The sequence below is a fragment of the Homo sapiens genome, chromosome 5, assembly GCF_000001405.40.
Source record: "Homo sapiens chromosome 5, GRCh38.p14 Primary Assembly".
NCBI classification, from domain to species: Eukaryota; Metazoa; Chordata; class Mammalia; order Primates; family Hominidae; genus Homo; species Homo sapiens.
In genome coordinates this window covers 72,768,830-72,790,747 of record NC_000005.10, presented here as the reverse complement: position 1 = coordinate 72,790,747, position 21,918 = coordinate 72,768,830, and the positions used below count along the sequence as shown (strand labels likewise).

The window sequence follows — 21,918 nt, the reverse complement described above, 5'->3', positions numbered from 1 at the left end:
AACCAGATATTAATATGCAAAAACTTTAACTTGGACCTTCACCTCACACTACTTTATTCATTCTGCAAGAGGCTGCACATCAGGACTTTACTTTTTTGGAAACCTGGCATTAAATCATTTAAAAGTTGCCAGATATTTTTTTTAATAAAGATGGAGTCATTGATTCATCTTTGGAGCAGGCTTTCTTTGTTTTGGGAGAATTACCAGAATAGGCCTTTTGAATTACACACATCTAGAGCAAGTACTCACTTGTTGCTTTTTGAGGAGATTGAAGTTTCTAGTAAGCTGACAAGTTTCGTTTAGAAGTATAAATTGGGTTTAGTGGCTTGTGTATATCCTTTCAAAATCAGAGGGGGAAAATATGTAGCCTTAGAATTGGATTTTGGCTGAATTGTCCTTGCAAAGTACTGTTTGTTTATTTATTTTGGAAGAGAGAGTCAGAGAGAGAGAGAGAGAGAGAGTTTTGTCTAAGTAATTGGTAACAGGAGATTGTCTCACTGGACCATGCCAAGAGTGTTGTGTAGATCTCAGCTCTTTATTATGGAGATAAAAATTGTGAAAGGGAATCAGGGGACTAGGATTGGTATAATACCACCTGGATTTGGAGCACTGGTGCCTTTCACATAGTGGTATTTAAGACAGAATAACTCAGACTTGTAAAATGTACTGCTGACCTTTATCATTGCCTGTCTGGCCATAGGAGCCAGACCGTACTCTGCATTAGTGGGTGCTCCCACTGTCAATTATTTAATTTAACTCATTTAATCTTCGCAACAGCCAAAAGAAGCAGGGCATGGATTTGAAGAGGAAAGATATCTCTCTGAATCTCTTCGTCTGTCTCTACATCTCTTTCTCCTCTCTGCACACACACACATACTCCCACCACAGCGGTTCTTAGGGCCAGTGTTTCAGTGTGTGGAGATGCCTGGCGATTTTCTGTTGGTGGGGTGAGCTGGCCATTGCCACATTGTGTTCCCAAAGTAACTCCTTCCAGTAGTTGTTGGAATCTATACTGCATTGAGAGTTTCACTCTGTCACCCAGGCTGGCGTGCAGTGGTGCGATTTCGGCTCACTGCAGTCTCCACCTCCCAGGTTCAAGCGATTCTTGTGCCTCAACCTTCCAAGTAGCTGGGACTACAGGTGTGCACTGACATGTCTAGCTGATTTTTGTATTTTTAGTAGAGACAGAGTTTTGCCATGTTGGCCAGGCTGGTCTTCAACTCCTGGCCTCATGTGATCCACCTGCCTTGGCCTCCCAAAATGCTGGGATTATAGGCATGAGCCACTGTGCCCAGCCTGCATTGTACTTCTTTCATACCCAAGTTTGCAGTACATTTTTGTTAATTGTTTTATTCATGTGTTACCTGTGCTTTAGATAATTAAGGGAGGGATCAGAGTCTATGCTTGGAGAATAACTCATAGGGCGAGTAGTATTCTAGAGAAGCTGGTTATCTGATGGCAGAAGTGACTTGCTGGACTCTAATAGCGGTGACAAATGTAGTACTGATTTAGTGGAACATTTAACAGATCCATGGGAAGGAAATCCTCCGGAAGAATAGTTTTTTTGTAGCCTATGGAATGCAAGTTCATAGTTTTTATAAGTTGGCTATTAAAGAAAAAGTGACCTTATTATGTAATCTCAAGTGGGTGTGGTCTGTGGACTGCTGGGGCCAATTCAGTTGTTCCTTCACTTACTCATTCATTCCACAAATATTTATTGGTAGTTCATTACATGCTGGGACTGGGCTAGGCATATAGATACAATGATGATTAACAGAGTCTCTGCCCTTTAGGAGAAAACTACAGGAAGTTAAATATTAACAAACCAAATTGTAACAAAATAAGAAGATAAGAGGAGAGCAATCAGAAATGAAAAAATAGAAGATGGACACACATAACTATACAAACATTTAAAATATCTATAATGTGAAAAACAATAAAAGGAGCTTAAAAAGAAAACAAGAGACTGAGAGAATTACTTGTACTAAATATGACAGATGAAGTAACGAAATTTTGAATATGTCAGTCTTTAGTCAAAACTAAAGCCTGGCCGGGCATGTTTACTTATGCCTGTAATCCCAGCACTTTGGGAGGCCAAGGCAGGAGGATCACTTGAGGCCAGGAGTTCGAGACCAGCCTGGCCAACATGGAAAGACCCTGTATTTACTAAAAATACAAAAAAAATTAGCCAGGTGTGGTGGTGAGTGCCTGTAGTCCCAGCTACTCAGGAGGCTGAGGCATGGATCGCTTGAACCCAGGAGGTGGAGGTTTCAGTGAGCTGAGATTGTGCCAATGCACTCCAGACTGGGCAGCAGAGCGAGACTCTGTCTCAAAACAAACAAATAAGAAAACAACAACAAAAAACAAAACAAAACAAAACAAAAACTAAAGCCTAACACCAAACCCCTAAAAACAAAAGGGCACTAACAGCATTCAAATAAGAGGAAATAGTCACTTAACTTACGAAACACCTTCAGTAGCAATTAAATAAATTCACTTTAAAAACAATAAGGTAATGAATTAGAAAATTCATAAAGTATAAAAATAAAAATTCATTCTGGGCAACAGAAACAAGTGGAAACTCGCAGTTACACACTTTCAACCATGGAGATTTCTAATTTATGATGGATTTATCAGGATGTAACCCCATAGTAAGTGTCAAGGAGCATCTCTAGGTACCACCTAGATGCTGAATCCTACATGCTGAATTAATGCCAGACACTTTTCTAAGTGCCTTTCATATGTTAACTGATTTAATCTTCATAGCAGCCATATGAACTGGGAATTTTATTATCTCCATTTTACACATGAGGAAACTGAGGGAAACAAAGATTAAACAAATTGCTTAAGATCACATGGTTGGTTAATGGCAGAGCTGGGATTTGAGGCTAGAGAGTATGGCTCCAGGGTGTGGCCTCACTATCATTGCAGCATGCTGCTTCAGTGGAGGAAAAGAGCTCTATATACAAAGATGATGCTTGTGGCATCATCATTTATGAGGTAAAAGGAAAAAATATGGGGGAAAACTACATGTTCCACAGTAGGAGAATGGTTAAATATATTATGGCATATTCATTCAATAGGTAATTGCTCAACAGAATTGTTCAGAACTTTTCTTTCCTTTTCCCAGGGTGCAATGAATGGTATGGGTCACAGACTTCATAAAAGTATTACTTGTCCTTTTGCAGTCCTATGTCCCCACATATTTGAGCAATTCATGAGAATAAGGAGGCCCTGTCCCAAATGGACACTTCATCATTTTCTCCCACAGCGGTCCGTGTCTCCATATATTATGTCATTAGATGTACTGAGAGTTGCTGGAGTATGAACTCTTTAGGAGTATAAATAACCACCTTCCCTGGATACTTAAGCCACACTTAATGAACTCATACATTTCTTTGACCTCACAGGTCCATCCTTGTTACCTTATCCAAGTAAAGCTGTTTCTTATCATAAATATATTAACACAATTATCAACCTTTTTTTATCATAAAGGGCTGTGAAGCGCTAAGATTTTTTGTGTTGTAAATGTTTTCAAAATATTAAAAATAATTTTTATTTATGCAGAAACAAATTGAAACAAGGAAAGAAAGGCATATTATGTATTTTAGCATAAAGTCTTTTCATACTTAAAAAAATTAGTTACAAAAGTGGTATATCACATTTATTAGTTGTATACCATGTGCCAGGAACTATGCTAAGCTCTTTACGTAATTTATTGCTTTTAATCCTCTCAATAGCCATATAAAGTAGATATTATTTATTATCATCATTTTACAGATGAGAACACAGAAGCTTAGAGAAGTTTAGTCGCTTGCCCTAGGTCACACAGCTCATAAGTGGAGGAGCCAGGAACTGTCTGAATCCAGAGATCAAGCTGTTAATCATACTGATACTATCTTTTTCTTCCTCTTCTTTTCCAAAAATAAACTTGGAGTTACTGTCTCTAATGCTTAGTTCTATGATGAAGTTCTATGTCTGTGGTCACAAATAACATTTTAACCAGTTACCTTGGAAATGAAGACGATTTAATAAATTACCACTAGAAGTGGCTTACCATATTGAATACGAAGTTCTTTGAGGAGAACCCTGCCATAATCATCAAATAAAGAAGAAAAACAAGTAAGGGAACATAAAAGCAGAATACAGAATATTCTGTTAACAAAGTTACATATATGGTTTACAAATATGTTTTCTAAAAGGAATATTGTATACAATAAGTGATAGTCTTAATAGGGAATGAAGTTTTGAAATTGCCTAAATATGTATTGATTTCAACTATAACTCTTTCAGAAGAATCTCTTCCTTCTTCTACTGGTTCATCCATACAAAGTACAACCTACCCACAGGAATCTCACTCATACCAAACATTTTCCATCTGACTGGAAGGCTGACACCTGTTCCTGAGTGGTAAGGTGTACCATTTTTGACAGAGCTCCACCATGCTGAGCCATGAATAGCCTCCAATATTTCTATTGCTTTTTCTTTCTTCCTTGATCATATTGTTGAACTTGAGAATAAAGAAGGTTGTTACAAACATAGGAAAAGATTGATAATTCTGAAGTCATGATAACAAGTAGCCACTATAACTTGTTTTAAATCTGTTTTATCAAACAATTCACCTCAGTAAACACAATTTTGCAATCCAACTACTCTGTCAATCTCACTTCTGAAGGTCAGCCAATCAGGGACAAACTCACTCCAACAAGCATGTCTCTGAGTGCTACCCAATCAGTAATAGTCTCACCTGAGTAATCACACTTCTACAGATGATGTCAACCTACTTATGTTTCTGAGAGTCAACAAATTCCTGAATGCTATGCTTTCTTGAAACACTATATAAGATCAGCCATTTGTTCTGCTTGAAAAGGCTGTGCCTGACCCACATCTCTTACTGTAACAAGCAATAAGTTAACTTTGTCTTTGTATGTTAGATATTGAATGGTGGTCTTTTGACAATTATGGAGGTTCTACCAAGATTGTTGTAAAGCCCCTCATTTGGCAACCTTCTAGAGGACCATTAGGCCAACAGATGCACTCATTGGACACCTTGTACCAAAATTCTACTTACCCTTCAGATATGTTGCCAAGTTAGTTAATCTCAACAACAATGTGATCTCTAGCTAGTTTCATTGAGTCTTGGTGCTGAATTTATTTTGTTATTCCAGAATTTGTGGCCAAATAGGTCTTTGTTTAGGCCTAGGTCATTGCAAAAAGCAATTAGGCCTTTTTTGGTTATTAATATAAACCATACAATAAACAATTAGACTTAGGACTTTGTATAAGACAACAACTAGACCTTTTGTTTTGGAGGTATGCCATTTGATATATATATATTTTTTACTATTAACATGCTTATTCTTTTGCTCCTTGCTTTAATTTTGATTTTGTTTGTCTGTATGTACAAAGTCTTGTTTCATGTGTTTTGTTTTATCCTGGATTGTCTGTTTCTATTGAGTGTATAAAGGAGTGTTTCATAGAGAACATGTGGGAGTATAGGCCAGATAAGTTTCCAAAACAATGAAGGTGGCCTTAAGAACTAATGGCTGGAGGTCCATTAGACCAGCAATCACTTGGTGAAAAAAGGGTTAGTCAAACATTGTCTAGGGACTCCTATAAATCCTTTATGAGGGTACCCTTTTTCTTGTTAATTTGGAAAAGAAGCTTACTTTTTTTTTGTCCCTTCTACGGAGTCAAGAATTGTCAGGTTGTTGACTGTGTGGCTCTTGTACAGTTTCTTCTTGGTTGGGGAAACCTAACACCCTTCAAAACCTCACAATGTAAACTGACTGTAGTGGCTTCTTTCTCTTGTGTGTTATGGGTTTGTCCATGTGAATGCCTCATCCTTCTCCTGAAATAACTTCTATTTCCTTTAAGAAGCACCATAATTTTAACTTTTCATTTTTATTGAAAAACGGCAAAAAGAAAAATTGTCTTGGAATAACAATGTCATGTTTTGACATGTCCAAATCTTTAAATTAATACCTTTAAGAGAAATGCTAAAAAGTTAGGAGACAAAATACCAAATAGTCAATAGTCTCCTCTAATTGATATTCCAAAGCCTTGAAAAATAATTCTAACTCCAAGAGAGTCTCTCTCAAAGACTTTGTAAACTTTTGAGACCTATCCTCTTTGCATTTTTCTCTTTTTCTACTCAGCTTCACCTGACCTTCTAAATGAGCTACTCTTTTGTCAGGGCAATAATAATTAAGTCATAAAATTTCTAGGCCATAAGGATGAATTACAAATTCTGGTCTACAGACAAGTTAAGGGCCATGATAAAGGATTATGCTAAATTTTCAGAATATTGGTAGATCATTGTTATGGAAGTCAAAATTTTATTACATACTTGGTTTCTTCTACCACAGATCTGTACCAACTAGTTCAGCTAAGTGTTAGCCTCTTAGTTACAGAAAATGCTTAGTAAGCAGAAAGATAGGAAAGATTTGTCAACCAATTATGTAAAATTTTTAAACATTGTCTTAAAACAGCAATAAAAATTTAAAATTAACTACAATAAGGAAACTTAAGAAAACATTTTGATAGAAAAATTTAAAAGGTTCAAATTATAAACAAAGCAAAGATGAAAAATAGACTTCACGAAATACTCAAGAAGCTACCATAAAACTATAGCTGAAGTAGAGAACTGTATCTTCTCTTATTGTAAATTGGATCCATCCCGAAATAGAGAATTTAATAATGAAAATTAAGTTGAAATGTAAAATTGCCAATTTAGAAAGTATTCAATATGTGTCAGACATTTCCAGAGCCTTAGAAAGTAAATAAGCTAAAACTCAATATAGTGTTTGGCTCTTCAGTTAAAAAACAACCAAAAAAACCTCTATTCTCTAAAAATTAGAAGCCTATGGATAAGGATACCTGTAGCTGTTGCAAGTACAATAGTAATTTAAAGACTCAATGTTCCATACTGGCTAAGAAACAGAAGGACAATTATTCGAAGTCTGTCCATTTTATTCATTGATCAATTAATCCATTAATGAGGGCAGAGCCCTCATTATCCAGTCACTTCTTAAAGGTCCCACCTCTCAATACTGTCACATTTGGGATTAAATTTCAACATGGGTTTTGGAGGGGGCATTCAAATCAAAGCATTCTGTCCCTGGCTCCTCAAAACTCATGTCCTTCTCACGTACAAATACATTTATTATATCCTTATAGCCCTAAAGTCTTTCCTCATTCCAGCACTAACTCAAAAATCCAAAGTCTAAAGTCTCATCTGTGAGCCTGTGAAATAAAAATGTTATTTGCTTTTAAAATATAATGGTGGGACAAGCATGGGGTACACATTCTCATTCAAAAAGAGAGGAATAGGTAAGAAGAAAGGGGTAACAGGGCCCAAGCAAGTATGAAACTCAAGAGAGCAAATATTGGGTCCGGAGACTTCAAAATAATCTCCTTTGACTCCCTGTTGGGCATCCTCTGCACACTGGTGGAAGGGTTGGGCCCCCAGGGCACTGGGAAGCTCTGTCCTTTTGACTTGGCTGGGCTCAGTACACCCAGCTCTCCCAAGCTGGCATTGCATGCTGGCAGCTCTACAGTTCTGGGGTCTCAGTGGCAGTCCCACTACCATGGCTTCAGAAGGCCTTGCCCTCTTGGGAACTCTCTGCAGTGACCTCACTTCCACAATGCCACTAGGCATTGCCCTGGTGGGGACTTTGCAGTGGCCGAGCTCCCTTGACTAGATATTACTGTAGTGGGACTCTCTGTGATGGCCTCACTTCCATAGCTCCACTAGGAATTGCCTTGATGGGGGCTCTCTGCAGCAGCTACAATCCTGTATTTCTGCTTGGCATTGGTCTAGTGAGACTTCTCTGCAGTGGTTCTGCCCCTGTAATTAGTCTCTGCCTAGGCCCCCAGGCTTTTAACAATAGGAATATCTTTTTAAGTCCAGTTAGGGGCTGCCAAGCCTCCACAGCTCTTGCTTTCTGTAAGCCTGCAGAATTAGCACCATGTGGATGCCACCAAGGTTTATGACTTGTACTTTCCTGAGCTGCAGCATAAGCCATACCTGAGGCTTAGAAGTGCTGTGCTGGGATGCAAATAGCACTCTGGGTCTGTCCCCTGAAATATTCTGCCCTCCTGTGCCCTTGAGCCTATGATGGGAGTGGTAGCATTGAAGGTCCCTGAAATGCCTTCCATTGTCTTTTTTTCCACTGTCTTGAGGAATAGCACCTGACTCCCTTCTATCTGTGCTAATCTCTTTAGCAAATGGTTTGTAGGCGTATTATACCCTTGGTTTCCTCTCCTGAACATGCTTTTTCACTCTTTACTTTCCTAGGCTGAGGGTTTTCCAAATCTTTCCATTATGCTTTCATTTTAGTTATAAATTCTGTCTTTAAATTATTGTTTTTCTCCAAAATCTCAGCATAAGCAGCTAAAATTAACCATCGGCTCCTTCTATATTTTGCTTAGAAATTTCTTCTGCTATATACCCTAGTTCATTACTCTCAATTTTGGCCTTCCACAAAGTTCTCAGGCATGGGCACCGTTCAGCCACGTTCTTTGCCAATTAGTAACAAGGATAGCCTTTACTCCAGTTTCCAATACCTTTGTCCTCAGTTCCATCTGAAACCTCATCAGAACGGCCTTTATTATCCATATTTTTTTCTTAAAAAATTTTTATTGATGCATAATAATTGTAAAGATTTGTGTGGTCCATTTAATATTTGATACATTCATACAATGATTAAATCAGAGTAGGATATCCATCACTTCAAACATTTATCATTTTTCTGTGTTGGGAACATTTCAAATCTTTTCTAGCTATTTTGAAATATACGATAAATTATGGTTAACTATAGTCACTCTACTATGTTATCAAACACTGGAAATTATTCCTTCTGTTAGCTGTATTTTTGTACCTATTAACCAACCTCTTTTCACCCCCAATTCTCCCCTACTCTTCTCAGCCTCTGGTAATCATCATTCTACTCTGACCAAGAGACCAACTTTTTTACCTACCACATTTGAGTGAGAACATGTGATATTTGTGTTTCTGTGCCTGGCTTACGTCACATAACATAATGTCCTCCAGTTCCATCCTTGTTGCTGAGAATGACAGAATTTCATTTTTTTCATGGCTGAACAATATTCCATTGTGTATATATGCTACATTTTCCTTATCCATTCATTTTTGGACACTTAGATTGATTATATATGTTGGCTATTGTGAATAGTGCTGCAATAAATATGGAGTGCAGATATCTCTTCTGTATACTGATTTTCTTTCTTTTAGCTATATACCCAGCAGTGTGATTGCTGGATTATATGACAGATCTATTTTTAGTTATTTGTGAAACCTCCATACTGTTTTTCACAGTGCCTACACTAATTTACATTCTCACCAACAATGTACAAGCATTCCCCTTTCTCCACATTCCACAAGCATTTGTTATTTTTTGTCTTTTCAATAATAGCCATTTTAACTGAGGTGAGATGATATTACATTGTGTTTTTGATTGGCATCGCCCTGATGATTAGTGATATTGAACATTTTTCATATACCTGTTGGCAATTTGTGTGTCTTCTGAGAAAGGTCTACTCATATCATTTGCCCATTTTAAAATCAGATTTTTTTTTTTTTTGCTGTTGAGTCCTTGTATATTCTTTTTATTAATCCCTTGTCAGATGGATAGTTTGCAAATATTTTATCCCATTCAACAGTCTCTTCAGTCTACTGATCATTTCCTTTGCTGCACAGAAGCTTTTTAGTTTGCTGTAATCCCATTTGTCCATTTTTGCTTCTGTTGCTTTTGAGGTCTCACCCAAAAAATCTTTGCCCAGACCAATGTCCTAAAGCATTCTCCAATTTTTTTCTTCTAGCAGCTTCAGGATTTTTAGGTCTTACATTTAAGTCTTTAATCTATTTTCATTTGATTTTTGTATATGTTGAGAGATAGGGGTCTGGTTTTACTCTTCTGCATGAGTATATCCAGTTTTCCTGGCACCATTTATTGAAGAAACTGTCCTTTACCCAATGTATATTCTTGGCACCTTTGTCAAAAAATAGTTGGCTATAAATGTGTGAATTTATTTCTGGGTTCTATTCTGTTTTATTGGTCTATATGTCTGTTTTTATGCCAGTACCATGCTGTTTAGGTTACTATAGCAGCTCTTTAGTATAATTTGAAATCAGGTAGTGTGATGTCTCCAGCATTGTTCCTTTTGTTCAAGATCGCCTTGGCTAATCATGGTCTTCTGTGGTTCTATGCAAACTTTAGGATTTTTTTTTCTATTTCTGTGAAGGATATCATTGGTACTTTGAGAGGAGTTGCATTGAATTTGTAGATCACTTTGGATAGTATGGACATTTTAAAAACATTAGTTCCTCCAGTCCATGAGCATAGCATATCTTTCCATTTGTTTGAGCCCTCTTCCATTTCTTAGTTCAAGTGTTTAATCGATTTCATCATAGAGATCTTTCACTTCTTTGGTTACATTTATTCCTAGTTTCTTTTTTTCATAACCATAGTAAATGGGATTGCTTTATTGGTTAGTTTTTCAGATTGTTGGTTGTTAGTGTATAGAAATGCTGCTGATTTTTGTATGTTGATTTTGTATTCTGCAACTTTACTGAATTTATTGACCAGCTCTAACAATTTTTTTGGTGGCATCTTTTTCTAAATATAGGATCATGTTATCTGTGAGCAAGGATAATTTGATTTTCTCCTTTCCAATTTGGATGCCCTTTATTTTGTTCTCTTGCCTAATTGCCCTGGCTAGGACTTCCAGTACTATATTGAATAAATATGATGAAAGTGGGCATCCTTGTCTTAGTCCAGATATTAGAGGAAAGACTTTCAATTTTTCTCCATTTAGTATGATGTTAGCTGTGGATTTGTTATATATGTCTTTTATTGTTTTGAGGTATGTCAGTTCTATATCTAGTTTTTTGAGAGATTTTATCATAAAGGCATGTTGAATATTGTTGAATGATTTTTTAGCATTTATTGCAACTATCGCATGGTTTTTGTTCTTAATTCTGCTAATGTGATGTATCTGTTTATTGATTTGCATATGTTGAACCATCCTTGCATTCCTGGGATGAATCCCACTTGATCACAATGAATGAGGTTTTTAATGTGTTGCTGAATTCAGTTTACTAGTATTTTGCTGAGAAATTTTGCATCTATGTTCATCAGGGATATTTGCCTGTAGTTTTCTTTTGTGTGTGTGTCCTCGTCTGATTTTGGTATCAGGGTAATGTTGACCTCATAGAATGAGTTTAAAAGTATTCCCTCCTCTTCAACTTTTTGGGATAGTTTGAGTAGAATTGGTGTTATTTCTTCTTTAAATGCTTGGTAGAATTTAGCAGTGAAGCCATCAGGTTCTGGGCTTTGATGGGAGACTTTTTTTACTGCTTCAATCTTGTTACTTGTTATTGATCAGTTCTGATTTTCTACTTCTTTGTGGTTCAGTCTTGGTAGATTGTATGTGTACAGGAGTTTTATCCATATCTTCTAGACTTTCCAATTTGTTGGCATATTTGTTCAGAATAACCTCTAATGATTCTTTATGTTTCTGTGGTATCAGTTATAATGTCTCCTTTTTCAACTCTGATTTCATTTATTTGGGTATTCTCTCTTTTTCTTAGTCTAGCTAAAGATTTGTCAATTTTGCTTATCTTTTTTTAAAAATCTACTTTTTATTTTGTTAATCTTCTTTTTTTGTCTCAGTTTCATTTATTTCTGCCCTGATCTTTATTATTTCTTTTCTTCTGCTGATTTTGGGTTTGGTTTGTTCTTGCTTTTCTAGTTCCTTGAGATGCATCATTAAGTTGTTTATTTGAAGTCTTTCTACTTTTTTGATGTAGATATTTAATGCTATACCCTTCTCTCTTTGCACTACTTTTGCCATATCCCATAGGTTTTGGTACTTTGTGTTTCCATTTTAATTTGTCTTGAGGAATTTTAAGTTTTCTTTTAAATTTCTTCATCAGTCCCACCATTTTTCAGGAGCATGTTGTTTTATTTCCATTAATTTGTACAGTTTTCAACATTCTTTCCATTATTGATTTCCAGGTTTATTCCAGAAAAAAATACATTGTTATTATTTTGATTTTTAAAAAATTATTAAGATATATTGTCTCTCCTGGAGAATGTTTTGTGGAAACATTCCATGTGTTGTGGAAAAATATGTGTATTCTGCAGCTGTTAAATGGAATGTTCTGCAAATATCTGTTAGGTTCATTTGGTCTAGAGTACAGTTGAACTCTCATGTTTCTTTGCTGATTTTCTGTCTTCACAATCTGTCCATTGCTGAAAGTGGGGTGCTGAAGTCCCTTACTATTACTGCAATGTAATAATACATGGTATTATAATCTCTCCCTTTAGGTCAATTAATATTTGTTTTAAATGTTTGGGTGTTTTGGTGTTGAGTGTATATGTATTTGTTGTATCCTCTTGCTGTATTGACCCTTTTATCATTATATAATATCCTTCTTTTCCTTTTTTTTTAAACCGTTCTTGACTTAAAGTCTATTTTCTCTACTGTAAGTATAGCTACTCCTGCTCTTTTTTGGTTTCCAGTTGCATGGAATATCTGTTTTAATTCTGCCACTTTCAGTCTGTGCATGTCTTTATAGGTGAAGTGGGTTTCTTAAAGACAGCATATAATTGGGTCTTTTAAAAAATCTGAACCCATTTAGCCACTCTATGTCTTTTATTTGGAGAATTTAATACATTTACATTCAAAGGTATTATTGATAGGTAAGGATTTATTACTGCCATTTTGTTACTTGTTTTCTGATTGCTTTGTGGGTCCTTCCCTCCACCTTCCCTCTCTTACTGTCTTCTTTCTGGTTAAGCAATTTTCTCTAGTGATACATGTTGATTCCATGCTATTTATTTTAAGTGTCTCAATTATATATTGTTACTTTCTGGTTACTATAAAGCTTACAGAATCCTCTTATAGTTATAACAGGTTATCTCAAACTGATATTGACTTGACTTTGATTGCAAAGTAAAGAAAGTAACAAAACAAACTCTACAATTTAGCACCCTTCTTTTTGATTTTTGATTTTTCAGTTTACATCTTTTTACATTGCTTATTTCTTAACCAATTGTTGTCATTATTTTTATAAAATAGTTTTGTCTTTTAGTCTTCTTACTTAAGCCATTAGTGGTTTCTTTATCTCAATTACAGCATTAAACTATTCTAAATTTGTCTGTTTTCTTTCTTTTACCAGTAAGTTTAATATATTTAGATGTTTTCATGTTACACATTAGCATCCATTTCTTTCAGATTGAAGAACTCCCTTCAGTATTTCTTGTAAGGCAGGTCTGGTGTTGATGATTTCCTCAGCTTTTATTTGCCTGGGAAAGTCTTTATCTCTCTTTTGTGTTTGAAGGATAGCTTTTCTAGGTACAATATGCATGGCTGGAAGTTTATTTTCCTTCAGCACTTTGAATATAGCATCCTTATCTCTCTTGGCCTACAGGGTTTCTGCTGAGAAATCCATTGCATATCATATTGGAGCTCCATCAAATGTGATATTTTTTTCTTTCCTTTTGCTGTATTGAGTATCCTTTTTTGTCTTTGATTTTTGCTAATTTGAGTATGATGTGTCTTGAAGAATTCCTCTTTGGACTGAGTTTGGTTGATAACTTCTGAGCTGCTTGTACCTGGATGCTGTCATCCTTCTTCATTGTTTCCTTAAGTATGCTTTCTAAGCTCTTTTCTCTCTTGTTTCCTTCAGGAATTCCTATTATGCAGAGGTCAGTTCATTTAATGGTGTCCCGCAATTCTCATAGGCCTTCCTCATTCTTTTTAATTCTTTTGTTTTCTCCCTTGATTGGGTAATTTCATATGTTTTGTCTTCAGGCTCATTAATTCTTTCCTCTGTTTGATCAAGTCTGCTCTTGAAGCTTTCTAATGAGTTTTTCAGTTCAGTTATTGTATTCTTTATTTGTAGGTTTTCTATTATTTTAAAAATTGTTTTCATTTCTTTGTCAAATTTCTTATTTTGTTCCTGGATAGTTTTCCAAATTTCATTTAGTTTTCTATCCATATTTGCTTGTGATCTCTGAACTTGTTTAACAGGATTATTTTGAATTCTCTCTCAGACATTTCATGGATATTCAATTCTTCTGGGTTCATTGCTGTAGCTTTGTTGGTTTCTCTTGGTCATGTCATATTTCTCTGAGTTTTCACAATCTTTGTGTCTTTACATTGATGCCTGAGAATTTGAGGAGACTGCCACCTCTTCCAGTGTTTGCAGATATTCATTGGTAGTGTTAGACATTTACTACTTACTCTCAGAACTTAAATGCTGTTCTGTTGTTGCTTCTCATTTTGGGGAGGACTTATGGTGAACTGAACTGACACACTGCAGTGGAACTAACTTGTTGCCCTATTGTTGTTTCCTGGCCTGTGGGAAGACTCATATTGAACACTGGAATTTAAATGCTTCTCCATAACTAAATTGTTGCCCTCATATTGTTTTTGAGTCTGTGGAAAACTTACAGTGATCACTGGAACTTAGATGTTGCCCCAGAAATATATTGCTGCCCTGCAAATATTTCCCATTCTGAGGAAGACTTAAGTTGGCACTGTAACTTAATTTTGACCTTTTAGTTGTTTCTGGGAAGGGAATGCTCCACACAAGCACCTGGGCTTTGTGGAACATCCAGCCAAGGATTTGGGCTTTCCTGTGGGTTGTGACCCTTGCAGTGCTATGGTGCTAATCAGTCTCTTCAACTTGGGATCTCCACTTATTGGAGTGCAGAGAAGCTCTCAAGATCTACTTTCCAGTCATCGTGATTAATGCCCTGCTTTTTGTCCCCAATTCACTGCAGGTGGTTTAGCCCTCCTGGAACTCCTGATGATTCCTGTGGGACAGGAGAGGAGTAGGCTTCCATAAAGATTTGAAGATCAATGGAGAGATAGAACATGCACCTCCAATTCCCTCCACTCACCACAGAAACCATGAGTTTAAAGAAATTCTCTATGAGTGGTATTTTGCTGGCTTGGGAAAGGCAATGGCACAGTCTGAAATGAACATTTCTTTTACCAGTTGTGACTTCTCTCAATTCTGTGGATGCAGGGGAGGTCTCCATTTCTCCCCCAAGTTCTGGAGAATTCAGGGTGATATTCTTGCCTTTGAATATTTTCCAGTTGTATTTTTGTTGTGGAACTGATACTGGGGAATCTTCTACTCCACAATCTTGCTGATGTCACTGTACTGTTCATATTTCTATCAGCATCCTAATCACAACCACTTAGGCAATAACTAAGGAGTTGCAAACTTTCTTTAGTCTTCTTGTCTGCTAAGCCCTCAAAATCTAGGCTTTTTCTAGCTTGTTTCTACAAATTCTTCCAAACTTTTTCCATTACCCAGTTCCAAAGCCACTTCCACATTTTCAGGTATTTGTTATCAGCAACACCCCACTTCTCTGTACCAGTTTTCTGTATTAGCTTGTTTTCTGTTGCTTGTAACAGAATATTTGAAAATGCATAATTTAAAAGAAAAAGAATTTGTTTCATACAATTATGGAGGCTAAGGAGTCTCAAGTTGAGGGGCGATAGCTGGTGAGAGCCTTCTTGCTGGTGGGGCCTCTTTGAAGAGTCCCAAGGCAGTTCAAGGCATCACATGATGAGGGGGCTGAACATGTTAGCTCAGATTTCTAGTCCTTGTCTTATAAATCCACCAGTCCGACTCCCATGATAACCCATGAATCCATTAACCATTTAATCTATTAATTCATGAATGGATTAATCTGTTCATTATGGCTAAACCCTCATGATCCAATTACCTCTTAAAGGCCTCACCTCTCAAAGTTGCCACATTGGGGAGTAAGTTTCAAAATGAATTTTTTGAGGGGACATTTAAACCATGGCAGGGTATAGGGTTTCAGATTTGCAAGATAGAAAGTCTGGAGATCTGTTTCACAACATGTGAACATACTTAACACTATTAAACTGTATGCTTAATGGTTAAGATGATAAATTACAGGTTATGTGTTTTTTACTACAATTTAAAAAAACTATGCCTGTTTTAAATAAGTAGCTCACTCTCTTGTAAAATTTACTACCTTATCAAATTTTTCAAATTGAACCAGTGACTAAACTGTGGTCTTCTCTAGGGTACTTAAAATTACTAAAATAAAAGAATAAGTATATAAACCAACAGCTGGTAATGCTTTTAAAATAATTCACTTATTTAAACTGTGACACAAAAAAGAGGTTTTAAAATCTTACTCAAGTACTCTTTAAATATAACAAATATATTAATTACTTGATGTCTTTACTATATCTAAAATAATTGCTGTAACAGAGGTAGGGACACAGTAAAAGAGGTACTATTGAAGCTAGTATACTATACTGTGGATACTATTGAAATACGTTAGAAGTACTATTGAAATATTTTAACAGAATAGCACACTAAACAGACTGACTGGAGTTCTTATACAAAGATCTCATGTAAATAACAACAAAATAATAATAAGTCCATCAATTCCATAAGAGATATATACAAAATTTGGATGCCAAAATTCTTTTTTTTTTTTTTTTTGAGATGGAGTCTCATTCTGTCATCCAGGCTGGAGTGCAGTGGCATGATCTCGACTCATTACAACCTCTGCCTCCCATGTTCAAGTGATTCTCCTGTGTCAGCCTCCTGAGTAGCTGGGATTACAGGCATGTGCCACCATGCCCGGCTAATTTTTGTACTTTTAGTAGAGACGGGGTTTCACCATGTTGGCCAGGCTGGTCTCGAACTCCTGACCTCAGGTGGTCCACCTGCCTCAGCCTCCCAAAGTGCTGGGATTACAGGCATGAGCCATCGTGCCTGGCCTGGTTGCCAAACTGCTTAAAAGAAACATGGGAAGTTATCTCATTATAAGCTCCATAAGACTAAGATCTGGCAAAACCAGATCTTGAAGTATGCGATGAAACCTCAAATTGACAATTGCCAAAATTCTCCATTAAACACCCCATCACAGTAGGGATAAATTTGCCATAGTATTAAACACTGACTAGAAAACTTCTGTAGTATAGCAGAGGATATGTCCAGTTCATGCATTATCTATACTAAATTAAGCTCAGTATGGTTTTGGGATGATTCAAGCACATTACATTTATTGTGCACTTTATTTCTGTTATTATTACATTGTAATATATAATGAAGTAATTATACAACTCACCATAATGTTGAATTAGCGGGAGCCCTGAGCTTGTTTTCCTGCAACTAGAAGGTCTTATCTGGAGGTGATGGGAAACAGTGGCAGATAATCCTCACAAGGAGTAAGCCACCTAGATTTCTTGCATGTGCAGTTCACAATAAGATTCACACTTCTGTGAGAATCTAATGCCACCGCTGATCTGACAGGAGGCAGAGCTCAGGTGGTAATGTGAGCGATAGAGGACAGCTGGAAACACAGATGAAGCTTCGCTTGCTTGCCCACCACTCACCTCTGTGTGGCCCAGTTCTTAACAGGCCATGAACCGGTGCCAGGGGTTGTGGACCCCTGCTCTAAGTAATAGTTTTAGCATCCCCAAATAGATTTATATAATTTATACAATTGTGTTTATTAATGTGTACTAATAGGTACAGTTATTTTCTGGGTAAGTTGAAGTATTTGCCTATCAAAAATCCACAGCCCTTACTATAGCAGAAAACAAAATAAAAACAAAACAAAGCAACAAAATAAAAGCACAATTAGATTTTGTGTTACTAACTTAGAATATTCCAATTATCTAATACAGACATATTTAATTAGAATGCTTATTTATAGAATGCTTACATAAAAGCTATGTAAGTCTTTTTCCATTAGTCATAAACTTTATTATCCTTATCACTCTAAATCCTCTGAAAAAACGAAAAGGTCCTTGACCAAACTGAAAAGTTACATCTGCTAGATATGTTAAATTGAGGTTCTCCAGAGCCTTCAGCAGATGGTTCACAGAAGTTGACTGCTAACCCAAGAGCCTCAGAATAAGCTAATGATTACATGGAGTAGATAATTTTGGCTCAAGATCATTGGAAGAAGATTCTTCTATATATTACACTCTCTATTGCATATTCTTATATATTATGTTTGTGGTAATACTATTCTCCTTTATTGCCTTAAAGTATTCTACTTCTGACTTAGCTTATCATATTCACTTTACTAGTGACAATGAGTTACTATGTCTAGACCAGAGTTGACAAACTATGGCTTACAGACCTAATCTGGCCTGCCACCTGTTTTTGTAAATAAAATTTTTTTGGAACACAGCCACAGCCATTTTTTTAACATGTTGCCTATGGCTGCTCTTGTGCTACAACAGCAGAGCTGAGTTGTGACCAAAAAACAATATATGGCTCACAAAGCCAAAAATATTTAATATCCAGTTTTTTACAGAGAAAGTTTGCTGATCCTTGATCTAGATAATTATCATCATAACTCTATAATTCAGCTATTCCAAGCTATTTTTAGCTCAGCCATTTAAATAAATGATGTTAAGGTATGTTACTCTGACTTTCCAATAGCAATACTCTTTGTCCAAGAAGCATAATGAGGAGGAAAACAACAACAACAACAACAAACAGAAAAAGCCAAACAAACAATACTCTGCATGCAATATATAAATGAAATAAAATGTCCTTGCACCAGGGAAATTACAAAATACAGACAACAACTATTTGTCAACAGTACTCAGAAACAGTATATCTGGAGTTCCATCAATGTTGAATTATCTCTTGTATATCTTTTTGTTAATTTTTTTCTATAAAACAATGAGACTCTTTAGTGCCAATGTAGGACCAAGATTAATTGTTCTGTTGAATTATTAGTTAGGCCATTCCAACAGTGTAATTTCTATGGTAGTCAGTCTCCAAGATAATACCTAATGATTTTCGCTTCTTGGTGTCCATGCACTTGTACACTGTACCTCTCCCACACTGTGCTGAGGTTGATATATGTGACCTCTATGGCAACAGTGATGGTATGTCACTTCCAATGTTAGGTAATAAAAGACAGTGTATTTTCTGCCTTATTCTCTATCATACAATTCACTCTAGGGAAAGTTAGCTGCCATGTTGGCAGCAGCTCTGTGGAAAGGCCCATGTGGCAAGGAATTGAGAAATCTTGCCAACAGCCCATGAGAAACTGAGGCCTCAAGTCCACAGCCAGGTGAGTGAGCCTTCTCGGAAGTACGTGGATCCTATACTCTATTTCAGCCTTCAGAGAACTGCAGCCTTAGCTGACATCCTGGCTGCAACTTTGTAGGAGACACTAATCCAGAACCACTCAGATAAGATGCTCCAAAACTTATAAACCCTCAGGAACTATATGACATAATTTTCTTGTTTTCAAGCTTCTAAATTTGGAATCATTTGTTATAGAGCAAAAGATAATTGATACAATTTAGCTCCCCAACTAAATTCCCCAACATCCCGAATGAATTATGTATCATTTCAAAGAGTACATAAAACCCTTTATGGAGAGAGAATTCTGAGAATAATGATCCTATCCACAGGAGTGAAGCTACTAGAAGCTTTCATAAAAAAATTACTTTGGTTGACATAGTAAATACTACGTCCCAAACTGTGAGGCACAGCAAACACAACAAACCAGTTTAAATTCCTTAAACCAAGTAGTTATAAATAATAGAATTGTCTTGGATTTTATTTTGGCCAACCAGGGAAGATTCTTTACCATTGCTAACATTGTGTATTATACCTAAACACTTCCAGTGAATTGGAATAATCTACCTCAAAGCTAAAAGAAAAGGCAACCTGGCTATCTAAAATAAACTTGGAAAATCTTTGAGACTTATTTTTGTGATCAGGTCTGGGAAATTTGGGGTCATGGTTCTGAAATATCTCCCGGGCCTTTCCAGTTATACTTATCTCACTGGTGTTCAATGTCTATGTTCCAGAATCTTAAATGCTTGTGTGCAGCCACCATCCTGACAAATGATTCAACAAATGATTCAAAGAGAAAAACCAGAATACAATTATTTTGATAGACACGTAAAACTGAAAATCAAATATCCACAGATGAAACTTCACCTTCAAGGAAAATCGCCAACAGTGGTAAAGAGCTGCACAACACTTGAAGTTTTCTCCTGCAGCTTTGATTGAACAAGCACCAGTAGGAGGGACTAAAAATAAAGAGGTTCCTACAAACATAGAAAAAGACTTTTTTTTTTTTCTGTAGCAATGGAAACAAAATAGCCACAAGAACCAGTTTTAAACCCATTCAGTTGGTCAAGAATAACCTGCATCAGTGAGCCCCTCTCGCTTGAGTCAGCTCACGGGGAAAGATTCACTCCAATAAACACCCCTCTCAGTGCCAGCTAATCAGCAGCAGTCTCACCTGAGTAACTGAGCTGCCGCAGATGATGTCCAACCACTCATACCCCTGAAAGTCTGTCAATTCCTAGCACTTCATGCTTCCCCTAAAGAAAAATCTGATATAAGGCTGTCTGCTGTGCCTGACTGGCATAGCCCTCCCTGATTATAGGAAGCAACGCATTCAGCTTTGTCTTGTCAATATTTTTGATGTTGAGTGCTCGTCTCATCATCTTCTGACCAATTCCCCTGATTCTTTTATCATTTTTTTAACCTCTTCCTGTTTAATACTACTAAGAGTAATAGTAATGATGATGTGATTTTGTAACTGCTACTCACCATATGCCATGCACTGTGCCAAGGGCTTTCATTATCTTAATATCTGGCTACCAGCACTTTTTAGATTTTCAGGTAGCACTCACACCTGAGGCTATCCCTGGCTTATTCCATGTGTCAGTCATTTGCTGGTTGCCTTCGATTCATTCCTCACCCTTTCTCTGTTCTGTCACGGAAGGCTGACTCCTGCCGATGGAGTTTGCCAGGCTCTTCTGTCAGCTGGCTTCCAGCTCATTTCTGCTAATGGGAATATGTGGTGAAAGATGAAAGGCTGGAAGGGAGAAAGGAAGAATATTTCTTCCCTCTCTGCTTCTGGAGGTGGCTTGGCCAATATCTGTGTTTCTTCCCATTGCTCCAGCTCCTTTGAACATGCCTTATTTCTTTTGGTGATGAAGGCATGATGCTGTAGATATCTAGGTTGTTTGGCAATCCTGTTTGGATTCTCAGCTTTTACAACACCCAATAATAAATTATTTTTAAAACAGCTTCAGTCTTTGTAATTTCCTAGAACATTGACAGAATGAGCAAGAATAGGTGGTAGAATTTATACCAGGTAGAATTGAGAGTCTTGAGATTTAGTCCCAAGTCTGTCTCTGAATCACGTGTGACCTTGAAACAATTACAGGTTGGTGCCTTAGTTTTGCTATCTATATAATGGAATTACTGATCTTTAAAGGTTCCCCTCCTGGCCCTCCGCCACTACCCTGCCCAATTAGAAACTTCTATAATGCTGGGATTGCAAGAATTAGTTTAACATTTATAAGAGTTATAACTGTTCTATTCTCTCATGTAAGAGTTCAAAAATTGCTTTAAAATGAAAATGCAGAGCCCTCATTTAAAGAGCAGGAAAAAAGTGTCATTAAAAGTGTTATAAATAAAGATTTTCCTTTAAAATTTGTATTATTTATAAAATGCTATAGAGGTAATAGTGATATATGAGCAACAATTAACTTAAAAAGTACAAAAAATTTTCTGGCATTATAATATTATACAATACAATATATAATACTACTTTATTAATGTCATATCTTGATTAATGTTAAGATTTTTCAGGCTTGCTTTTCCACAAACTCATTTAATGGATCATCAAAATTTAAACTTTTAGAAATTTTATTTTCAATTGATGCAATTGAAAGTGACATTAGTTTCTCTTGGAAAATGTCAGATTGCAAATAATTTTTGATAATTTTAAATTTTGACGAGGATCTTACTGCTGATGCAATTGTTATTGGAGCTGTTAAGAGTATTTTGTAGCCTGTTACATTTGGGATACATTTCTGATAAAT

The 21,918-nt window shown here is 36.4% G+C and overlaps 1 long non-coding RNA gene across 20 annotated transcripts in view; it reads left to right on the top strand.

Annotated features, from left to right (window-relative positions):
- TNPO1-DT (TNPO1 divergent transcript) overlaps positions 1–21,918 on the top strand; it is a 245,434-nt gene that overhangs the window by 25,801 nt on the left and 197,715 nt on the right. The window contains exon 3 of one of the 20 annotated variants that reach the window (NR_186510.1): positions 4,294–4,410. The exons of the other annotated variants lie outside the window; for them this stretch is intronic. This is a non-coding gene — a long non-coding RNA (TNPO1 divergent transcript). The remainder of the gene's footprint in view (positions 1–4,293; positions 4,411–21,918) is intronic. 20 annotated transcript variants of the gene reach the window in all.